General features: G+C 35.3%; 1 protein-coding gene across 1 annotated transcript in view; it reads left to right on the top strand.

Annotated features, from left to right (window-relative positions):
• USH2A (usherin) overlaps positions 1 to 25,583 on the top strand; it is an 800,558-nt gene that overhangs the window by 604,748 nt on the left and 170,227 nt on the right. Inside the window, exons 48-50 of the mRNA NM_206933.4 lie at positions 1,506 to 1,704; positions 4,797 to 4,965; positions 19,576 to 19,794. Coding sequence (NP_996816.3) covers positions 1,506 to 1,704; positions 4,797 to 4,965; positions 19,576 to 19,794 — 587 coding nt within the window. The remainder of the gene's footprint in view (positions 1 to 1,505; positions 1,705 to 4,796; positions 4,966 to 19,575; positions 19,795 to 25,583) is intronic.

Here is a 25,583-nt window from a genome sequence, read left to right as displayed (position 1 = left end):
GAACAGCTTTATGTTATGACCTCATTTGCTACAGCAAATGAAATATTAATAGATCATTGAAAATGCAGTAAAGTTTTGATCAGATGTTATACCTTCATTGTATACCAAACCCTGCCTCTCATAAAAACTTTCTACTTGGGTTTAAATTGAAATTATCACTCAATTTTTTAAAATCAAACATTTTCTTTAAGAACATGACAATGTAAACATATTTCTTACGGGAATCTTTAAGTTCTATATTTTTCACCAAAAATCATTTCAGACCATGCTAGTTAAAGAGTTATTGAAAAAAAAAAGAATCTATTTAGATGAGTCAAAAAATTAAGCAAAGTATGTTTTAAATAAGTTAGTGACTATAAAATTTCTCAATTTGGGCATTTATTTTGACTGCAAGTAACAAAACACCTGACAAAAGAGACTTAAGTAAATAGCTCTAGATATATAGTTGACTCTTGAACAATGCAAGGGTTAGGACTGCTGATCCCCACCCAGTCGAAAATCTGCATATAACTTTTGACTGTCCCAAAATTTAACTACTAATAGCCTACTGTTGACCAGAAGCCTTAATGATAACATAAAAAACTGATTAAAACATAGTTTGCATATATATTTATACTATATTCTTACCATAAGTAAGCTAAAGAAAAGAAAATCTCATTAAGAAAATCATAAGGAAGAGAAAATATATTTACTATTCATTAAGTGGAAGTGGATCATCATAAAAGTATTCATCCTCATTATCATTATATTGAGTAAGCTAAGTAGGAGAAGAAAGAGGAAAGGTTGGCCTTGCTGTCTCATAAGTGGCAGAGGTGGAAGAAAATCTACATGTAAGTGGATCTGCACAGTTCAAATTTATTTTGTTCAAGAGTCCGCTGTGGATAGTTGTTGGCATTGGTGAACCAATGCCAAATATAATGGCGGCATCTTTGTGATTGTTTTGGCCTTTTCAAATAACTGAAAGATGATTGCTGAAGTTGTAGACATCATGTTTAGCGGAAAGAAAGAGAAAAGGAGAAGGTGGCAGCTCTTTCAAGAAAGCTAAAATTTCCTAGGAACCTCCATAGGAGTCCCATCATGGTGTTCCCGTGGCATCTCTGAGCAGTTATGTTTCATATCACAACTCCTAGGTAAAGTAAGGCAAAGGAGAAGCAGGTTAGAAGTAGGCATTAAGTTGCCACATGTTCTAATTGTCACCTTGTTTACCAAGTCATGTATGTCTTATCTTTGCTTACCAAACAAAATGCTCTGATTTTCTTGATTAGCCATAGTGACACTTGCTTCTTGTCTTTGAAACTGAAAGTAATAAACCACCTCACGCCATGTGTTATTCTTCCAAAAGCTAACATAATTTTGATTGATTTGAAAATATATGATTTCATATATAAACATATATAATTATATATATATATTAGTATCTATTGCTGCCACTTTTTACTTAAGACTGATAGCATCAATGTTAAATAGTGTCTTTTCAGAAGTATTGATTATTCTCTCTGTTGCAGATCTCTTCAAATTGATTGGGTGTCTCCACGGAAGCCAAATGGCATCATTCTTGGATATGATCTCCTATGGAAAACATGGTATCCATGCGCTAAAACTCAAAAGTTAGTGCAGGATCAGAGTGATGAGCTCTGCAAGGCAGTGAGGTGTCAAAAACCTGAATCTATCTGTGGACACATTTGCTATTCTTCTGAAGCTAAGGTAAGTCTTTTCTAACTAATCAGTGAACCATGTTTTTCTCACTCAAGACTCCAAGTGAAATTATTAGCTTCTCACACCATGATGTATTATGATCAATATTTCCACTACTCTATGAAGAAGACTCCACGGAAAAGAAAGGATGCTTACAAAAATCACTATCACCCTCATGAGCACTTTAGCCTTCCCATTTTTTATTATCTTCACAAGAAATATAAACTTATTAGAATAGGGTACATCCCAAATTTTATTTGATTGAGTGACTTAAAATTTTCTTTACAACAGATCTTTTCAGCTACAAATAGGTGTTTGTTTATATGGCACTGATGAGTAACTGTGAGGAGGACATTTTATGATTTGTCAGAAATATTTTAGCATTATAGTCATTTGTAGATTAATGTTCATATTAGATGCGGTTTAGAAATCAGATCAATAATACAGCCAGACAGAGGAGTTTGTAAATGACTTTTATTGACAAACAACACAAAATCCTTAGTTTGAAGGTAGAATTTTATATAATGAAATAATGTTCCTATTTGGCAACAACAGCATCACACATTCAATGGCTAAAGCTACTACTAAATTTATAAGATTTACTGCAAAAGAACACCATAATTAAGAAAGTGAGTTACTGAAGCAATATGGATCAAAATACAAATTATTATGGCTGACACAAATTTAGCAGGAGTTATCATCTAAGAAATGCATAAAGCCAGCAGTTACTAACTGTGCATTTTTTGATACTTAGACTCTAAAATTATCATTATGCCTACATTTGACATCATTTTATGCCATTAAGTATGCACATATTTAAATACACACATCTGATGAACATATTTGTATAAAATTAAATTTGGGATTTCTGAGAAGAAAAATACTAAAATAAATTTGCCCATTAAACATATCCTCCACTTAAGAAAAACTTGGGAAAATGTTGGCAAAATACGGAATTCACTTCTCAATTTTTTTCTTTGCTTCTATTATTTTAATATTTATTATCTGTTACGAAGTGGACAAAGAGAGAATAGTTGTATAGGCATACGAATAAATGATTTAAAGTTTGTGGAGTGCAGAAAACAATGTGTTCCATCAAAGTAAAAACTGATTCTGGCCAGAAACTGTCATAGTAGTTTAGGTGTGTATAATGGATTTGATAAGTTTCAACCCTATAACTTTAGTGGCAAAATCAAAGCTAAGTAGAGTAAAACTAGTAAAGATAATGTTTCCATTTAAGTTTATTCTAAAAGATCAAAAGGTGGATGTTCTTAAAATGTTCATATTAAATTAGAATATACCTGAGATAGGGTGAAGAAAAAGTAATGGGATGAAGAAAAATATTAATAAAGTATTAACAGAATAATATTTACCTATGTTTAGGCTAAATTATTTATAAAATTACTCCTACCTTTCTTTATGCTGTGATTTCAGAAACCGCTTTTTGTAACTTTTAAAAATTTACTGAAGCTTTGTACCAAATAAGTGACTGGTTGGTGTAACATTCCTAAATTCAGTGAATGACAAAGAACCGGTTAGTTTAATTTTAAATCAATTTAAAAATGATTTAGACAAATCTACTCTACAAAAAAAAAAAAATCATACGGGTCACCTTTTATAGAAAATAAATGTAAATTGATGAATAGGGAAGCAAAAGTTAGGCTTTAGAAAACAGGCGTGTGCAAATCTCACCACATAGTCTTGAAAAGAAACATCACATTTGGTTATTCTTATAATGCAAATGTCATACCTTATTACACTAAAACGAGACACACTATTTAATGATGCCTTAAACAAAGTCTTATTTTTATTGTTGAGCTTAAAGAGGCAACACAGGTATTGCGGTAAAAGAGAATAAAGGATGTCAGTTAAATTTCAAAAAAAAAATTGTAAAGTTCAGTTTGGGACTAGGTACTAATACACATTTCCTAGCATGAAAGATTGGAGAGAAGTAGAAAAGAGACTTGTATTGCGGGTTTAAAAGCTTTTTGGCTAAATCACTGTAAACATCAATGTTTCCCAAAATACTTAAACAAGCTTTACCATAAGATTACAGCCATGGTTCACAAATCCCAGTGAACGTAAGACCTGGGGGAATTGTTAAAACCTAGGATTTCATAGCTCTAGTCCCAGAGATTCTGATTCAGTAGGTTTAGATTTGGCTGTGAAAATTTGCATTTCTAAACATGTTCCCAGGTGTCTTAGTTCGTTTTCACAGTGCTATAAAGAATTACCTGAGACTGGGTAATTTATGAAGAAAAGAGGTTTGACTCACAGTTCTGCAGACTTAACAGGAAGCATGACTGGGAGGCCTCAGGAAACTTACAATCATGGCGGAAGGTGAAGGGGAAGCAAGGACCTTCTTCATGTGATGGCAGGAGGGAGAGAGAGCGAAGGGGAGAGCTGCCACACTCTTTTAAACCATCAAATCTCGTGAGAACTCACTCGCCTTTAGACCTACAATAAAAGTCTCTTTCCTACTTCTCTCCAATCTTTCATGCTAGAAAATATATATTCATACCTAGCCCCAAATGAAATTTACAATTTTTTAAATTTAATTAACTTCTTCTGTTGTCTTTCACTGCAATACCTGTGTTGCCTCTTTAATCCCAACAATAAGACTTTGTTTAAGGCATTATTAAAATTTTATATAATAAAAAATGTATATATTTAAATATATCTATTTTTATTATAAAATTTTATATAATAAAAGATCTATATCTTATGTATATATACATATGTGTATGTGTAAGATATAAGATATACATCTTATATCTTTTATTATATAAAATTAAAATTTTATATAATAAAATAAAAGATATAAAATTAAAATTTTATATAATTAAATACATATTATATTATATAGTATTATAATAGAGCACAAAGCATGGTTGAAGACTTCAAAAAAGCTGCATTCTATCAAATAACATTTATAAAATTCGAATGATCCTGGAAAATACATTTTTAAACCAACGAAATATGAGTAATATGGTCTCAGATCTTCTATGCCTTACAAGAAAATAATTATATTACATGAGATACAGTGGTATAACACTCTTAACTAAACTGATATTTCTTTAAAACTGTTTTCAAACTTTCAGGTTTGTTGTAACGGAGTGCTCTATAACCCCAAGCCTGGACATCGCTGTTGTGAAGAAAAGTATATCCCGTTTGTTCTGAATTCTACTGGAGTTTGTTGTGGTGGCCGAATACAGGAGGCACAACCAAATCATCAGTGCTGCTCTGGGTATTACGCTAGAATTCTACCAGGTGAGGGTTATTTCCAGGTGTACTCAAAAACTATGGGAACCTGAAAACATAAACACGTGGTTCATGTCAGTGAACTATTTCAAACACCTCCCTCTCAACAAAAATTGAACCATAAACACATAGCCAATGGCCTGCTCTAAATATTGTTTCTTCCTTCTGCTTTGTTAAAATATAAGCAAGGCTAAATATTAGAAAACGAGAGAACAGAAGGAATTTACAATATCTACTACAGAAAGAAATAAATCTGGAGATCTGGCTAACTCCTTTTATCTTGTGGCTTTTTTTATTAACATGACTATATATTTTCACTATTAAATATGTGAATTGCTGACTGTTCCACCCCATGAAGCTGTTCCCCACTTCCTCCATTTCTAATCTGAACTACACATGCATTGTTCTTGGATAGATCGCAACTGCAAATTTCATTTGTCTGAGAATTCTAGGCCACTGGCAATATTCTCTCATCATAAGTCAGGCAAGGGAAGGAAGAATGCTGCAAAGGGTAGCAAACTGGATTTTTTCCTTCATCCCTTTTTAGTATTAGCCAACTTAGCTAGCCATTTTGCTCCAAATTTCAACTACATAAAACAATGCCTAGTGAATATAATTGGGAATGATGCTAATAATAACTGCCATTTTTAAAGTACCAAGTCTCTCGCAGGCTCTGTATTGAAGACTTTACATGGGATACCTTATAGAATCTTCACAACTCCAGGAAATTTGTATTATACAAGGCAGTTTACAAGTAAGGAAACTGTTTTAGAGAGGATCAATAACATATCCAGATTCACAGATGTGCATAGAAGTGAAAGAACTAAAATGTGAATATAAGTATGTCTCTCCTAAATCTATGCTCTTTTGTGTACTTTACTGCCTCTTTAACCAAAAAGCATCAACCTCTTTTGACAATTTTTTTAAAAGGACTATTTAAGACTTCTAAACTTCTTCATTACTACCACTGTCAGTTACAATTTATCCTGCAAAAGTAATTGAGAATACAAAAGTAATTGAGAATACAAACTTTTTTCTACTACTTAAGTTTGATACTGATATCTTCTTTAAAGAGCAGGAAATGGATATAGGAGAAAGACAAGAAAGCCAAGTTTTTTGGAGGCCATAGGAAAGCTGAATACTTTGAGATATCTAGTTTAGGGTGAAATTTATGCCCAACGTCTGGTTCCTGTAAATTATGTTCAGTATAACTATATCCATCCAAGGCATGTGAAATGAGACACTGTCTAACCCAGTGTCTGTTTTGCAAAATACTGGAGCAAATATAGAAGGCGTGCAATCACCTGATGGGTTCATCTTGCCCATTGCACAGATAGAGCCAATTTACCAAAACAGTGGTATTGCAACAGAGAAAGAGCTTAATAAATGCAGAGCCAGCTAAGCAGAACAGGAGGTTTTACTCAAAACAGTCTCCCAGAAAATTCAAAACCTAGGGTCTGTCTGGGCACGGTGGCTCATGCCTGTAATCCCAGCACTTTGGGAGGCTGAGGCGGGTGGATCACCTGAAGTCGGGAGATCAAGACCAGCCTGGCCAACATGGCTAAACCCCATCTCTTGTAAAAAATACAAAAAATTAACTGGGCGTGTGGCAGGCTCCTGTAATCCCAGCTTCTCGGGAGGCTGAAGCAGGAGAATTGCTTGAATCTGGGAGGCAGAGGTTGCGGTGAGCCGAGATGGTGCCACTGCACTCCAACCTGGGCAACAGAGTAAGACTCTGTCTCAAAAAAAAAAAAAAAAAAAAACCCTAGGGGTTTTTTTGGTTGGTTTTTTGTTTGTTTTTGTTTTTTGTTTGTTTTTTTATTTGTTTGTTTGTTTTGAGATGGAGTTTTGCTCTTGTTGCCCAGGCTGGAGTGCAATGGCGTGATCTCCGGCTCACTGCAACCTCCACCTCCCAGGTTCAAGCGATTCTCCTGCCTCAGCCTCCCAAGTAGCTGGAATTACAGGCATGTGCCACCACACCCGGCTAATTTTGTATTTTCAGTAGAGACAGGCTTTCTCCATGTTGGTCAGGGTGGTCTCGAACTCCCAACCTCAAATGTCTGCCCACCTTGGCCTCCCAAAGTGCTGGGATTACAGGTGTGAGACACCACACCTGGCCCAGCCTAGGGTTTTTTTTAGGATAGTGCAGTAGGCATAGGGCTAGGGAATGAGGAATGCTTATTGGTTGGGGATAAAATTATAGGGAGTCAGAGCTGTCTTCTTGTCCTTAGTCAGTTCCTGGATGGGGACTATAGGATCAGATGAGCCAGTTTACTGGTCTGGGTGATACTAGCTGGTCCCTCAGAATAAAGAGTGTGAAAAATAGCTGGTCCCTCAGAATAAAGAGTGTGAAAAATACGTTGAACACCAATCTTAGGTTTTACAATAGTGATGTTATCTATGGAAGCAGTTGGGAAGGTTAGGAATCATGTGGCCTCTGGTGCCATGAACACCTAAGCCGTAGTTCCTTGTGGCTAATTTGTTAATTTTATAAAGGTGCTCTGCCCCCCAAGCAAGGAGCAAGTTTGTTTCAGGAAAGGACTATCATCAGTGTTTCGAAGTTAAACTAAACACCTCTCATAGTTATCTTGGCCTATGCCCAGGAATGGACAGGGTAGCTTGTAGGCTAGAAGCAAGATGGAATTGGTTAGGTCACATTTCTTTCACTGTCATAATTTTCCAGTGTCAGGATTTTCTTACTGTCATAATTTTTGCAAAGGTGGTTTCAGGTGTCCTGATTAAATACTGCTCAAGTTTTCTCAAGGCAGAGAACCTTCACTCATTATTTTTCCTTATAATTAATAGAAAAAAAAAGTTTGTATAGCAGTGCTGTTATTTCTTATTCTCTATCAAAAATATTTCAAAATTGAATAAGTTCTAGTAAACCAGATTTTCCACTTAAGAAAAAGTAAAAATATATATGGAAATAAGGATTTTGTAGAAAACTGTTAAACTTCTTCATACTACAGCTCACGATGTCAACAATGGATCAAATACTGTTAAATGCTTTACTTTCTCGAAGTAACTTAAATTTGGGGAGTTTTCATGTATGATTCATATCTGCCCTTGATTACAAATCATTGCTATAAAATTATAATTACAGTGATCAGATGGACGTTTTGTGTTGTTCAATTCCTACCATTCTTCACACCAGTAGACCAAGTTGATCATGGAACTAAGTAATAGTGTTTTCATTTCCACATCACATTAAAATTTTTATGTTATGATTTGCAACAAACTATTCAAACTCTACAAAATATCCTCTGTCCCTTAAAACTAATGAAAAATTCTTAGTTACATCTTCACTGCTGCTAACTCAGGAGACTGGCCTGTGACTTTCTCAATGCTAACATAAGTAGTCAGATTTTGAACCGACAGCACAATCTACTTTTGTTAGGTTTCAAAATAAAATTTAACATTTTTCTTAAAAATGAAATAACTCATGGAAGCTCAGAAGTTGTCATTGATATTATATAAGCCTTTAATAATTAATTTTTAGACCAAGGATTTAAAAAATATGTATTGTCTGTATGTATAAATACATGTTTCTGCACACCTAAAGCATTTTAATATCTACCAAACCATTGAGCATGCCCCAAATTTTGATTCTTTTTTAAATAGTTCATTTTTCATAGCATTAGAATGCATACCCTGGTGTCAAGAAAAAAGGAAAAAAGCAATCTCATGAAATAATCAAAGAGTGTTTTGCTCCAATCATTAATCCCACTGTACCTAAATGAAGAGATTATTTTGTGACCTCTGTCCTCAGCCCCGTGGTCTTTGTTAGCTAGTTTAACACTGGTTACACTGAGGGGGAAAAAAGCGCAATGGTCCCAAATCCTGTTGCATCTAAATGTGATTTAAATCTGGTCACTAGTCTGCCAGTTCAAGGCCAAGATGGGTATAGGCATTTTGATATTTATGGATTAGCCTGAAATATTGGTAAATACGTACTTTATTTTTTTTCTCATGACTTTCTTCCATAACACCCCATAACAAACAGCAGAAGAGGAAAGAATGCTCATTTCTCTCCCTTTTTTAATAAATATGCTAATAACCCCAAGTAAATGTTAATGTGGGTCATTCTTTGATAAGAATAACAATTAACTGTTAGACTGCATGGTAGTTTTTAGAGAGAAAACATTTTCAAGCCTGGCCTGAAATAGATTCATTTTGAGAGGTTAATGAGAAGGTGACTGATCCTTGTATCTTATGTCTAATAGCCCCTTTTTGAGGAAAAAAAAATAGTTTTATTTTTTATTGATATAATCCACATCTTTTTTTTTTTGAAGACTTTTCTTCTGTCAGTAACTAAATAAGATTCTGAGGGATTCAGAAAGACATAGCTAAAATATCTAAACCAATTAACATTTATTATGCTCAAAAGAGGCTTTAAAAAAAAGTATTGGCTTTCGCCATGTAGATGTGTATACTATGTTTCCTCTAAGCTCACCATTGTCCTGAGTGGTGTTTAATTAACTGTTGTTGCCCTGTACCATGGGATACATTATCTTAAAGTTTACCATAGAGGGACATTATGTTCTTTGACTGTGAAGACAAAAAATATGGCAACTACATTTCAGACGAAATAGAATTATTTTACCCAGGGGAAGATAACAAATACAGTAACTTTACTGTTTACAATAAGCTCGTTGCTCCTTCATTGGTCTCTGGTAGCATCATCATGGAAACTTTTACTAAGTTCCCTTTTTCTTAGAGATACCATATTATAGGATCCTTTCAAAGATAATTGACTAAGCCAACTGTCTCCTGAATTCTAGAAATTCATATTTTGAGAAAATCCTGAGTATGTCTTGATCCGGTCCTGGATATTTACCCTAGAGAAAAGCAAATTTATGTTTACACAAAAACCTGTACATGAGGGTTTACAGCAGCTGTAATCATTACTGCCAAAACCTGGAAACAATTCAAATGTCCCTAAGTGAGTAAATGGACAAATGTGGAACAAAGGAATACTATGTAGCAATAAAAAAGAACAAAGTATTGATAAGTGCCAAGAAGATATCAAGCCCAGTGAAAGAAGCCAGTCTCAAAAAGCTACCAACTGTGAGACTGCATTTACATGACATACTATACAAGACAAACCATAGTTTTGGAGAAAAAAGTTGACAATTGCCAAGGGTAATGGATGGGAAGGGAATGTGACTATACAGGGATAGCGTGAGGGTGTTCTGTGGGGGTGATGAAACTCTTTTGTATCCTGATGGTGTTTCTTCATTAAAATTCATGGAAGTGTGCACCCAAAAAAACTAATGGTCCTGAATAATATTTTTAAATGAAATATTTTTAAAACACTATTTCCATTTTACACATAGGAAAAATGGGACATAGAAACATGACCAAGACACTCAGCTAGTCAAAATAGGAATTTTCATGGTTAAATTTTAGGTTGAGCTCCTAGAGATGGTGTGTTTTATAATAATGTGATGACTGTGTATGAGTGACTTAATATATTTTTCTCATATGTTAGTAGAACAGTAAGATAGCAAATATATTTCCATTAAAATTACAATGAACATCCCTATCTTTAAAAGAAAGCAAAAATGTCTTAGTCAGTGATGACTATTTCAAGTAATATTTTACATGATCACATTCTTATGAAAGCATAAGTTTTGTGTAGTGTTTCCGTGGTTTGATGCTGAATAATTAGTGAATAAGATATTGGTTCTGGAGTCAAACTGCCTGGCTCCATATCCCATTTCTTTCACCTCTTAGTTGTTTGACCTTCATTAAGTAACTTTAGGAATATTAGCAGGGTATTAATGTTTCTGATGTCCATTGGGCTGCTGAGTTAGAATACTCAAAGCTAACCCTATCTTTTATATCTAAATAGAAAAAAAATGTTTAGTAATTGAGGAGCATATGAGTAAAGAGGGCTAACAGGCCTCCTTTAAATGACAAAGTTTCTAATGAATCTTTCCAGAGCAAGGACTCAGGGGTGTCCACTTTCATCAGATCATGTAAAGGGATAGCCAGTTCCCAAAAGCTAAGATTCAAACATCTAATGACCTTTGAGATCCTATGAAACAAAGGATCCTTGTTGATCCTATGAGGCCAAGCAATTCTCTAAGTTGACTTTTAGCAACTAGCCAGGGAAAGTCATGAAGAGCTTCCAAACTTTGAAGAGAAAAAGACTTTCCATTTTGCAAAATGTCACAGCCTAGAATTTAGGTCCTAGAAAAAGCATTTTGTTCTGACAAAATTGACATTTAGAGACTTTATGTCGATTGTATGCTACCACTATTGACAAATAGAGGGAATCAATTTTTCAAGTCTATCTGGAGAACGTGACAGATGATCATTCACATATTGCACAACAGTTGAATCTTATAGGGGAAATTAAATATCGCTCAGTTTGTTTCCTATTGCTGCTATAAATCATGACCAGACACTTCGTGGCTTAAAACCACACAAACTTACTTTATACATCCAAATATCAAAAGTTTGAAATGGGTCTCATTGAACTAAAACTAAGAAGTTAACAAGAGCTGCATTCCCTTCTGGAGGAGAGAATCCATTTTCTTGCCTTTTCCACCTTGCAGAGGCTGCTCACATTCTTTGGCTTGTGGACCCCTTCCATTTTCCAGGCCAGCAATGACCAGTTGAGCCTTTCTCACTTCATATTATTAAACTTAATCACATCTGTTGTCTTCATTCCCCTTTGCCATGTAACATAACATAGTCACAGGTTCCAGGGATTAGGATGTGGACATCTTAGGGAGGCCATGTTGTGCTTACCATGGTAAGGTAATGGTTAAGCAGTTGTGAGAATTAAGAAAGCATTGTCGTAAACTCTTGGGGAATAACTGTCACAAGTGAAACAAAAAAAGATACTGTGAGCCTGAGTGCAAGAATATATGAAAAAAATGCTAAGTATAGATTTGCTATAAATTAAGCAGCTGCCTCAGGGAGTGGCAGTAGGATGATATTAGGGTTGGGAACTACAGGGAAATGGGGGAGTGCAATCTTGTTAATGACACTTAAATCTTGTACAAAGTGGTACACAAGTCTTTTATCATTTTGATAGAGTGAACAGTGAACTACAAGGACTGGTACAGGGGATAATGGGGTGTTATGCCAAGCGAGGTAACTTTCTAGAGGTATGTAGATACAATGGACCAAGTTATTAAATATTGTTCTTTTTAGTAGATTTTGGGACAGTTTCAAGAAATGCATAGCCAGATTGATAGACATCTTTAAGGGGTTAGCATCCTGTATGAATCCCACATCTGAGCAGTTTTTGCCCCAGAGGATCTTGGAGACACATTCAAAGTCAGAGATGTTGATAACAAAGGCATCAGGTAATTAGCTGGTGCTACCACCAAATTATAGGCCAGGCATTCTTCTCCTGGGAGTTACAGAAAGAGACTTTCAGGTGCACATTTAATGCTGGTATCTCATTTACAAAGTGGATCTCTTCTCAACAGATGCACTGAAGTGGAATTACTAAACAAAAAATATGTTGATTCAAGAGAAAGAAAAGAAAAATAAAGGCAGAATCTGAAAATTATTTGATATGTGTACCGCTGAGACATTTGGTTATTCCTAGAAAGGGATAATGGAAAATTAGAAGGGTTTTTGATAGATAATATACCTACCACCAGTATCAATCTTCTATTTTTACAATTGCATAGAAATTTCTCACTTTCTATGTCAAGGGCAGTTATGGATAGATGAGAGCAGCTACTTTCACAGAGAGGTGCTGTTTTGTCAGTTTGTCCTTTTTTTTTTTTTTTTTTGATTGTGTCTTTCTAAGATACACTAATAAAGGCAAAGTAGGTGTTCTCCCAGTGTCCCTTACAATATTGAAAGTTGTTTTTGTGCAGACTAGACATAGAGGTGCCCTCATTCTTGGCTTTATCTAATTGCTTAATCCCAAAAGCTGTTAATGTGGTCTGAATTTTTTTTCTTTTTTTCTGAGCCAAAGTATCTTCTAAGTGCTTAGCAAGCTCTTGTAATTTAGAAGGAAGGGACAATCTACTGTCTTATCTTCTGTTTTATGGGAAGTTATGATACCTTCTTCACTGATCTTTAGAGTATTCTGGAAGGTGGTAGTTAAGTGATCTCTGAAGCCAGGCATGGATTTATTTTTTCCTTGTTTACAGGACTTTTTTGTGGTAAAGTATACACCACATAAAATTTATCATTTTAACCATTTTTTAAGCACACAATTCAGTGGCATTGAGTGCATTTGCATTGTTGTACAATCATTACCACCATCCATCTCTAGAGCTCTTTTATCTTCTCAAGCTCAGACTCTGTTTCCATTAAGCACTAACTTTCCACTCCCTGTTATCTTCAACCCCTGGAAACCACCATTCTGTTTTTGGTCTCTATGAATTTGACTACTCTAGGTACCTAATATAATTGGAATCATACAATATTTGTCTTTTTGTGTCTGGCTTATTTCACTTAGTGCATTTTCTTTCTTTTTTTTTTATTATACTTTAAGTTTTAGGGTACATGTGCACAACGTGCAGGTTAGTTACATATATATACATGTGCCATGTTGGTATGTTGCACCCATTAACTCGTCATTTAACATTAGGTATATCTCCTAATCCTATCCCTCCCCCATCTCCCCACCCCACAACAGGCCCCTGTGTGTAATGTTCCCCTTCCTGTGTCCATGTGTTCTCATTGTTCAATTCCCACCTATGAGTGACAACATACGGTGTTTGGTTCTTTGTCCTTGCGATAGTTTGCCGAGAATGACGGTTTCCAGCTTCATCCATGTCCCTACAAAGAACATGAACTCATCATTTTTTATGGCTGCATAGTATTCCATGGTGTATATGTGCCACATTTTCTTAATCCTGTCTATCATTGTTGGACATTTGGGTTGGTTCCAAGTCTTTGCTATTGTGAATAGTGCCGCAATAAACATACGTGTGCATGTGTCTTTATAGCAGCATGATTTACAATCCTTTGAGTATGTACCCAGTAATGGGATGGCTGGGTCAAATGGTATTTCTAGTTCAAGATCCCTGAGGAATCGCCACACTGACTTCCACAATGGTTGAACTAGTTTACAGTCCCACTAACAGTGTGAAAGTGTTCCTATTTCTCCACATCCTCTCCAGCACCTGTTGTTTCCTGACTTTTTAATGATCGCCATTCTAACTGGTGTGAGATAGTATCTCATTGTGGTTTTGACTTGCATTTCTCTGATGCCCAGTGATGATGAGCATTTTTTCATGTATCTTTTGTCTGCATAAATGTCTTCTTTTGAGAAGTGTCTGTTCATATCCTTCACCCACTTTTTGATGGGGTTGTTTGTTTTTTCTTGTAAATTTGTTTGAGTTCATTGTAGATTCTGGATATTAGCCCTTTGTCAGATGAGTAGATTGCAAAAGTTTTCTCCCATTCTGTAGGTTGCCTGTTCACTCTGATGGTAGTTTTTTTTGCTGTGCAGAAGCTCTTGAGTTTAATTAGATCCCATTTGTCAATTTTGGCTTTTGTTGCCATTGCTTTTGGTGTTTTAGACATGAAGTCCTTGCCCATGCCTATGTCCTGAATGGTATTGCCTAGGTTTTCTTCTAGGGTTTTTATGGTTTTAGGTCTAACATTTAAGTCTTTGATCCATCTTGAATTGATTTTTGTATAAGGTGTAAGGAAGGGATCCAGTTTCAGCTTTCTACATATGGCTAGCCAGTTTTCCCAGCACCATTTATTAAATAGGGAATCCTTTTCCCATTTCTTGTTTTTGTCAGGTTTGTCAAAGATCAGATAGTTGTAGATATGTGGCATTATTTCTGAGGGCTCTGTTCTGTTCCTTTGGTTTATATCTCTGTTTTGGTACCAGTACCATGCTGTTTTGGTTACTGTAGCCTTGTAGTCTAGTTTGAAGTCAGGTAGCGTGATGCCTCCAGCTTTTTTCTTTTGGCTTAGGATTGACTTGGCAGTGTGGGCTCTTTTTTGGGTCCATATGAATTTTAAAGTAGTTTTTTCCAATTCTGTGAAGAAAGTCATTGGTAGCTTGATGGGGATGGCATTGAATCTGTAAATTACCTTGGGCGGTATGGCCATTTTCGTGATATTGATTCTTCCTACCCATGAGCATGGAATGTTCTTCCATTTGTTTGTATCCTCTTTTATTTCATTGAGCAGTGCTTTGTAGTTCTCCTTGAAGAGGTCCTTCACATCCCTTGTAAGTTGGATTCCTAGGTATTTTATTCTCTTTGAAGCAATTGTGAATGGGAGTTCACTCATGATTTGGCTCTCTACTTGTCTGTTATTGGTGTATAAGAATGCTTGTGATTTTTGCACATTGATGTTGTATCCTGAGGCTTTGCTGAAGTTGCCTATCAGCTTAAGGAGATTTTGGGCTGAGATGATGGGGTTTTCTAGATATACAATCATGTCATCTGCAAACAGGGACAATTTGACTTCCTCTTTTCCTAATTGAATACCTTTTATTTCCTTCTCCTGCCTGGTTGCCCTGGCCAGAACTTCCAACCCTATGTTGAATAGGAGTGGTGAGAGAGGGCATCCCTGTCTTGTGCCCGTTTTCAAAGGGAATGCTTCCAGTTTTTGCCCATTCAGTATGATATTGGTTGTGGGTTTGTCATAGATAGCTCTTATTATTTTGAGATACATCCCATCAATACCTAATTTATTGAGAGTTTTTAGCATGAAGCGTTGTTGAATTTTGTCAAAGGCCTTTTCTGCATCTATTGACATAATCATGTGGTTTTTGTCGCTGGTTCTGTTTATATGCTGGATTATGTTTATTGATTTGTGTATGTTCCCATTCATGTTGTCGTACGTGTCAGGATTTTATTCCTTTTTAAGGTCGAATAATGTCTCATTGTATGTATATAACACTTTTGTATTCATTTATTCATCAGCGGACATTGGGGTTATTTCTGCCTAGTGACTATTATGGTTAAAGCTGCCATAAACATTGATGTAGAAATGTACAAATTTCTGTTCAATCTCCTGTTTTCAATTCTTTTGGGTTTATACCCAGAAGTGGAATTGCTGGATCATATGGTAATTCTATGTTTAATTTTCATGTTAAGAACTGCCATACTGTTTTGTGGAACATTTTAACATTTTATATTCCCAACAACGCATAAGTGTGCCAATTTCTCCATATTCTTACTGTTTATTATTTTATGTTTTTTATAACTATCCTAATGAGTATCAAGTGGTATCTCATTGTGGTTTTGATTTGCATTTCCCTACTTATTACTAATATTGAGTATATTTTCATGTGTTTATTGGCTATTTGTATGTCTTCTTTGGAAAAAAGTGTCTATTAAAGTTATTTGCCCATTTAAAAAATAAGGTCTTTGTTTCATGTTTTTGAGTTATAGAAGTTCTTTATACATTCTGGATACTACTTCCTTATCAGATATATAATTTTAATATATTTTCTCATGAGTTGCCTTTTCACTTTGTTGACAGTGTTCTTTGATGCCAAAAAGTTATTAATATTAATTATGATGAATCCAATTCATCTTTTTTCCTTATTGCTTCTGCTTTCAGTGTCATAGCCAAGAAATCATTGGCAGACCCAATGTCATGAAATTTCCCCTTTGCTTTCGTCTAAGAATTGTAAGTTTTAGCTTTTACATCTAGATCTTTGATCCATTTTGAGTTAGTTTTGGTATATGGTATAAAGTAAGGGTTCAATATCATTCTTTGGCATGTGGATATTCAACTTTTCCAACATTCTTTAAAAAAAAAAAAAGGTCCTTTCCTCATTAAATGGTCTTGGCACTTTTGTTGAAAATCATTTGCCCATATATGCAAGGGTTCATTTTTAGGATCTCTGTTCTATCCCATTGGTCTATGTGTCTGTCTTTGTACCAGTAACACACTTTTGATTACTGTAACTTTGTAGTAAGTTTTGAAATCAGAAAGTGGGAGATCTCCAACTTTGTTCTTTTTCAATGTTGTTTTGACTATTTGCAGTTTTTTGAGATTCCATGTGAATTTTATAATGGCTTCTTCTGCTTCTGCAAAAAGCATTGGGATTTTGATAGGGATTGAATTGATTCTGTAGATCACTTGAGCAGTACTGGCACCTTAACAACATTAAGGCTCCCAGTCCATAAACATGGGATGTTCTTCCATTTGGTTATCTTCTTTAATTTCTTTCAACAACATTTTGTAGTATTTCAGTCTTTCGCTTTCTTGGTAAGCTCATTCTTAAGTCTTTCTTTTTTTGATGTTATTGTAAATGAAATTATCTTATTAATTTTATTTTCATGTTGTTCATTCTTAGTGTATAGAAACATACCTAGTTTTTCTATGCTGACTTTGTATCTTGATACTGTGCTGAATTGTTTATTAGTTGTAACAGGTTTTTTTTTTTTTTAGAATCTTTATAGTTTTCTCTATATGATATCATGTTGTCTGAGAACACATAGTTTTGCTTCTTCCCTTTCAATTTAGATGCCTTTTATTTTTTTCTCTTGCCTATTGCTCTAGCCATAATATCCAATATTATGTAGAATACAAGTGGCAAAGGGTGGCAACCTTTTCTTGTTTCTGATTTTAGAGGAAAAGTTTTCCGTCTTTCACTGTTGAGTATGACATTAGGTATAGGTTTTTCTCATATACTCTTGATTATGTTGAAGTAGTTTTCATCTATTCCTATTTTCTTGAGTGGATTTATAATGAAAGAGATTGAATTTTGTCAAATATTTGTTCTACATCAACTGAGATAATCATGTGTTTCTTTTTTTTCCCCTTTGTTCTATTGATATAATGTGTTACATTGATTAAATTTTCATATATTGACCCATCCTGGTATTCCAGGGATATATCCCGCTTGGTCATGTTGCAGAATCATTTTGATGTGCTTTTGAATTCAGTTTGCTAGTATTTTGTTGAAGATTTTTGCATCAATATTCATGAGAGCTATTGATTTTAACTTTTTTCTTGTGGTTTCTTTGGTAAGTTGTATGTTTCTAGTAATTTGCTCATTTCATCTAGTGAGATGGATTTTTGGCCAATAAATTTGGAAAGAAAAGATCTCAAGGATAGCTGCTGAGAGTTATTGTCTTATTATTTATACTCCTTATATATCTATGTTTAATTAAATATTGTCCCATATTTTTATATCATTTTGGTAAACAGTACATCTTGCTTTTACTAAACAAATTTTAGGATATCCAGGGCTCACCAAAAGGTGAACTAATTGAGAAGAAGTCCAGGACTATAAATCCCTAAGGCAGTCCTAAATTCTTCAGTGGATTTGTGCCATTTCTTAAGAAAGCTTGACAAGTCATTAATTGGATTATAGAAATCTTACCTGGACCATGGTTGAAGGCCATAAGACCCATCAGATTGGTCATCATACTCACATACCTTATAAGATATAATGAAGAGATGTTGTCCAGGGGAAAAGATATGTTCAAGAAAGAACGGTAGAGAAAAGGGAAGAAGGTCTGTTGAAGGTGTAGGAAGAAGAGGAGGAGCAGGACAAAAGAGAGAAGGAAGTCAGGGTTCCGAAGGCCACGAGGGAAGACAACCACAGTGGGGTCATGAGATAGAGAAGAGAAATGAAGCTTGGATTTCAGATCCACCAAGTTTTTATTAGTTCTTTTGAAGGTATCCTTAAGGGAAGCCATTTACAAAATCTTCTGTCCTTTAGAGTTGTCTTTATACCAAACAAACAAACAAGCTAACTCTTGGTATTTAGAGTATTTGAGTCCTTTGATTTTAAGGTACCAGGCAAAAGATTATCTAATTCTGTTTTTTGTTTTTTTTGTTTGTTTGTTTTTGTTTTTTAGATATGCCCAGGCTGGAGTGCAGTGAAACAATCCTGGCTCACTGCGCACTCTGCCTCCCGCCTCCCGGGTTCAAGCAATTCTCGTGCCTCAGCCTCTCGAGTAGGTGGGACTACAGGCATGCACCACCAAGCCTGGATAATTTTTTTATTTTTAGTAGAGATGGGGTTTCACCATGTTGGCCAGGCTGGTCTTGAACTCCTGGCCTCAAGTTATCCACCCACCTAGGCCTCCCAAAGTGTTGGGATTACAGGTGTAAAGCACCACACCTGGTGGATTATCTTATTCTTATCCCAAATTTCCCAGACTGTCATGTGAAGAGAAATGTAGTAAAATTCAGTGTGTGACATAGCCCAGAGAAGTACTAGCACACTGACTTAAATACAGTATTTTTTACCTCCTCTCATGTAATTAACCTTCCCAATGGGAGTATTTTGTTTGGTTGAACAAATATAGTTTGGTCAAGGAAATTATAGTCATAAGCAATATAAATTTATCAATAGTTGGTTTTTGAATCCACTCTACGTTCCAAAAGAAAATTACACAGAACAAAAAAGTATTCCTAGATGTTTTTCTATAATGCCACATAGTCCATGTCACCAGACCTGATGGTGAGGAAATAGACAACATAGACTTACCTGTAAGTTGCCATGTGTGTATCTGATCTGACACACGTTTATACACAAAAACTTTGGAGTCATTTGGAAATTTTGCAACTCCAATATGATATTATTCTCTTTAGTAATTCTGTCAATCAGTTGGGATCTGCAAGATGATTGTGATAAAAGTTAATTGTTAGTCATAGCATATTTTTTTAACTGATGTAATGATTATTATTGTCCTAAATTGACAGGTGAAGTATGCTGTCCAGATGAACAGCACAATCGGGTTTCTGTTGGCATTGGTGATTCCTGCTGTGGCAGAATGCCGTACTCCACCTCAGGAAACCAGATTTGCTGTGCTGGGAGGCTTCATGATGGCCATGGCCAGAAGTGCTGTGGCAGACAGATTGTGAGCAACGATTTAGAGTGTTGTGGTGGAGAAGAAGGAGTGGTGTACAATCGCCTTCCAGGTAAGGGGCCCAGGTCTACCTTTCAGTAGATGGAGGATCTGAGAAGCAGAGAGAGTGAGAAATTTGCCCTAGAAATAAAACAAATAAGTAATTAAAGCTCACATTGGTTATATCTAATGCAATAATTAGGAACATATTGTTTAACACATAACAATGTAATCTCCCAATTTTTACATGTATCTCATGTATTTCATAAAAACGCATCAATTTTTTTTCCTCTTGAAAAGGTCATGTCCTCCAAAAAAAATTCCACACATGAATGCATTGGTTATGAATGAAAAGAATATTTCCTAGCAAATAGTATACAAAATTATTATAATGATATTTTGTTATAATTCTTTTACTCCCTTATTCTACTGTATTAAGCTAACACTAATATAAATAACAATAAGTATCATTGAATGAATACTAACAGACACTGTGCCAATATTTTATATATTATTACCTCAAATAATCTTCACAATAATCTTACATGATAGGTACTATCAATTATCTGCATTTTAAAAATGAAGAAACTGAAGTTCAGACATTAGATATTAGACATTATCTTGCTAAATACCACACAGTCAGATCCAGATTTTGGGAAGCCTGACATTTATGTTATTGGAGGTGGGGCTTTTAAAGACAAGAAAATTAAAATATGAAGTTAATGTTCACAGTATCTTCACCAGGCATAGATTCCATCTCAAGAAGCCACTTTCTTTGCTCCTCCCTAAGAAGCAACTCCTCATCTGTTAGTTTTATGATTGCAGCAATTCAGTTACCTCTTCAGGCTTCACTTCTCATTCCAGTTCTCTTGCTATTTCCACTGCATCTGCAGTTATTTTTCCCATTTTGAGTCTAAAACCCCTTAGTCATCCATGAGGGTTGGAATCAACTTCCTCTAAACTCCTGTTAATGTTGATATTTTGACTTCTTCCCATGAATCATGAATATTCTTAATTGCATCTAGAATGGTGAATCCTTTCCAGGTTTTCAATTTACTTTGTCCAGATCCATCAGAGGAATTACTATCTATGGCAGCTATAGCCTTACAAAATGTATTTTTAAATAATAAAACTGGAAAGTCAAAATGACTACTTGACCTATGCTGTGTTAATAGGCATGTAAACATTAATTTTCTTGTCTATTTCCATCAGAGCTCTTGAGTGACCAGATGAATTGTCAGTGAGTATTAATATTTTAAAAGAAATATCTTTTTTCTGAGCAGTAGGTCTCAATAATGAGCTTAAAATACATAGTAAACCATATTGTAAACAGATATGTAATCATACAGCCTTTTTGTTCCATTTACAAGCACAAGCAGAATAGATTTAGCATAATTATTAAGGGCCCTAGAGTTTTTGCAGTGGTCAATGAGCATGGGCTTCCACTTAAAGTCACCAGCTGCTTTAGCCCCCCAGCAGGAGAGTCAACCTGTCCTTTGAAACTTTGAAACCAGGCGTTGACTTTTTCCCTCTACCTATGAAAGCTCTAGTTGGCATCTTCTTCCAGTACAAGGCTATTTCATCTACAATGAAGATCTGTTGTTTAGTGTAGCCACCTTCATCAGTGATCTTACCTAGGTGTTCTGGGTAACTTGAGGCAGCAGTTTCTACATCAGCACTTGCTGCTTCACCTTGCACTTTTATGTTATGAAGATGGCTTTTTTTCTTAAACCTCATGAACCAACTTCTGTTAGCTTTCATCTATTCTTCTGCAGCTTCCTCATCTCTCTCAGCCTTCATAGAATTAAAGAGAGTAAGAGCCTTGCCTGGACTAGGCTTTGGCCTAAGGGACTATTGTGACTGATTTGATCTTCTATCCAGACCACTCAAAGTGTCTTCATATCAGCAATAAGGCTGTTTCACTTATTCATAAGTGAATGATAAGTGAAATAGAAATCTTACCTGGACCACGGTTGAAGGCCATAAGACCCACAAGATTTGTCATCATTCTCACATACCTTATAAGATATAATAAAGAGATACTGTCCAGGGGAAAAGATATGTTCAAGAAGGAATGGTACAGAAAAGAGAAGAAGGTCTGTTGAAGGTGTGGGAGGAAGAGGAGCATTTTGATTTTCTTCAAGAACTGTTCCTTTGCATGCATAACTGGGCTAACTGTTGGGCATGAGAGGTCTAGTTTTTGGCCTGTCTTGGCTTTCCACATGCCTTCCTCAATAAGCTTAATCATTCCTAGCTTTTGATTTAAAGTGAGAGACATGAGACTCTTCCTTTCACTTGAACACTTAGAGGCTATTGTAAGGTAATTAATTGGCCTAATTTTAATATTGCTGTGCCTCAGAGAATAGGAAGGCCTGAGGAGAGGGAGAAAGATAAAGGAACGGCTGGTCTGTGAAACAGTCAGAACACACAGGACGCTCATCAACTAAGCTTTCCGTCTTATATGGGCAAGGTTCATGACACGCTAAAACAATTACCATAGTAACATCAAAGGTCATTGACCACAAATATAAATATAAAATATAAAAATTAAAAATATAAAAATATAACAAATATAATAATAATGAAAAAGTTTAAAATATTGTGAGAATCATCAAAATGTGACAGAGACACGAAGCGAACACGTGCTATTGGAAAATTGGCACCAATAGACTTCTTGATGCAGGGTGGCCACAAAACTTCAATTTGTAAAAAAATGCAGTCTCTGCAAAGTGCAGTAAATCAAAGCACAATAACGTGAAGTAAGCCTGTGATACTAAACTACTATATGCCTTTTTAACTCTTATTCTCTCCTATGTGTACAGCAGAGCTTTTCAGATGTTACATGGCATGATTTGCAACAGATCGAATGCAGACTCAGAAAGAAAATTAAATTGACTTCTCTTAACTAAACATTTAAAAAGCTTGCAAAAATATAACACAATGTCATTCTTCTATTTTTTATTTGAAAAACATTTATTTTCATAAATATGTTAGAATGTTATAGATTTATTATTTTATGTCTAAATGCATTAATAAATATTTCAAAAATTTCTGCCGTAAGTTTTAACACAGTACATATCAACAGGTAAAACCCATATAAACAAAAGGTATTTGGGGTCCTCAATAATTCGTAAGCGTATAAAAGGATCCTGAGACCATAATTTGAGAACCACTGCTTAAAGTCATAGTAACGTCTACTAGAAAATTATGGCAACTAATTAGTTATCCTGTACTATGACTAACCAGTTGAATACCTCCTCCTCCTTTAGATGAAGTAGCTAATAACAGGTCTATTAAAGATAGAACCAAGGTGGCAGGGAGGGTGCAAAAGTGTTACCTCCTGTGTACTCTAATACATCAGAGTTTAAAAATGACAGCAAAATATTTGATTTTAGTGTGTTTGTTCATCTGTAGCTTTTTAAAAGAATTAGTCAACTGCTATACTCCGTCCTTTGTTAAATATGTATTATGTAGTAACCATATTCAAGACATCATTCTTGGTGCTTTGCAAGTGTAAAAATGGCCAAGATTCCGTTTTTATCCTCAAGAACTTACAACCTAATCAAGGAGAAAAGTGCCTACAAGGTTATACACAGACCATAAGAGAGGGATGAATGCATGCATATTCTTAAGACGGAGAGATCACTCCAGTCAAGGTAATGAAGGGGGTTGTTCCATTGGATTGGAATCTCAAACAGTGAGTATGATTTTGGCAGGTGTGGCTTGAGCTAAACTGTGAAATTAGCAATCTGCAAAACACAAATAATAGCGTGTGCTTTGGTTTACAGGAGGTATACACTCTGTGTAAGGAAGAAAGGAGATAAATCTGAGTAGGCAAAAGGATTTGAACATTATTTAGCACTCAGGGAAGAGTCAATATGATGATAAGAACTGTAGTTTAAGATTAAATTTAGGTGTCAGAACAAATACAATAGAGAAGGAAAGAGAAGTCAGAACACCCCTGGCATGAAGTAAAATACATCTGTTCTAAGAAGTGGAATGGAGGTTACCGTCCACTAGGACAATGGTTCTTAACTTGTTTTCCTTTTGAATCTTTTGGAAGTTACAAACCCTCACTCTGAATAATAGTGCATGGAATATACACAAAAATTTGCCTGTAATTTTATCCACCCTTGAACTCCATCCATGAACTCAAATTTCAGAATCACTTCTTTATTTACTCCAAGATGATGTCGCATGCCAGTCAAACATTTCTTACACAAATGGTGACAGCCCTCAACTCTTGCGAATCAAGATAAGCTCTAGAGTTTCTCATGGCATTCTACAGCTCTGCCAACTCTGATAATCATAGTGGACTTAAGGAATAATAGTTTTACAAAGGAAAAAATATATCTTTTTATTCTCTTGACTTTCTTTCTGCAGGTTGCACTGAAAATAGACAGATTCCACATGTATTTTTCCTCTCTCTGCTGCCGTTCACTCCTGTAGCCCCTAATGACTGTGACCTTAATGACCTTCCAGAATATCCATATGGCCCTTTTTCTCCTCAACCTAGCAACAAACAGCATACCTGCTACATAAGTGTTTGGATCTCATAATATCGTTCCTAAGCCTGGCCTCTCTCGCTGCCTGGCATTGTGTGCCTGCCACGAGACCGGGCTGGCTCGTAAAACATCTCTTTATGTACTTTATTACTTAAACTCTTTTATTTGCCTGCAGGAGCCCTTTAACAAAATCACATTGAATTGACTTTCTCACACCAAATCAAATCTCCCTGGTCCCAGTTCAGTTGTCTTTGTCAATATGTATTTTATAAATGGAGTGAATTAACAGATGCTGTTGGAACAGAAGTGCTGGGGTGGCGTTTATGTTTTTAGTGCTCTCTCTGGGCAGATGCGTTGTGTAGAAGTGTTATACAGGTATCTCGGGATGAAAGTCATGCGTGTCATTTCAGTGGATATGTATTCTTAGCCATTTTCTTTGAATAGATTTTAAACCTATTTATTACTCATTTTTTTCTTAGTGTTTGCTTATATAGCTTTATCATTTATGCCATTAATCTTGGATTGGACTTGATTATATCCCTTAGTATGAAAAGGTGAAAAATTAAAACCTCCGTTTCATTCAAAGAGGACAGATTTTTCTATTAGCCATGGGAAACTGATCATGAGATGACTTTGGAATATATTGACTTATTTATATTATAAACTTTGTCCATGCGGCCTTTGATGTGAAACTCTGAGTTGAAATTGTTTCAGAATACAAGACTGAGTTTTCATGTCCTGGACTCTGACTTCAGTAGAACAAATGACTATCGCTGTTTGTTTCATAAGATGGGAATTTGGGAATTTTGCAGAGGGAAGTATAATTACAGAAGTCCATGGTGTAAGGGTGGCATTGAAAAAACATTTCCCTGGAAGATTTCCATAAAACAGAATGATTTTTTTTTTGAAAAGTGTAATATATCAGTGCTATAAAATGTATCACAATGATTTGGGGAGCATTTTTACTCTACCCTCTGTTTTGTGGTGGTAGTCACAGAGCCATCTACTGGTGAAGACAAGTGTGAATTTCTTTTCTTTCATGCTCTGCCACAAATGTTATACATTTGTCCTAAGGATGACTAATCACAAACCTTTTTTTTCTTCTAGGCCTAAAATATCCCTTGGCTTAAAATTTGGTCCCCATGAACAATCTCAGAGTTTCACAATGATTTGTCATATTCCAGACTGGATTTTACTACTATACTATTTTTATCTCAAAGGCATGATACATAATTCTTGGTCTTCTTTAAAAAAAAGTGGAATCCCAGTTTTGCAGTCTTAACTATTTAGAAATTCATCCAACAGATATGCTTATAAATGCTTTTCTTTTTAGACATAGATATGAAATAAGCATTGG

The sequence above is a fragment of the Homo sapiens genome, chromosome 1 (assembly GCF_000001405.40).
Source record: "Homo sapiens chromosome 1, GRCh38.p14 Primary Assembly".
Lineage (NCBI taxonomy): Eukaryota > Metazoa > Chordata > Mammalia > Primates > Hominidae > Homo > Homo sapiens.
This window is presented reverse-complemented; position numbering and strand designations above follow the sequence as displayed.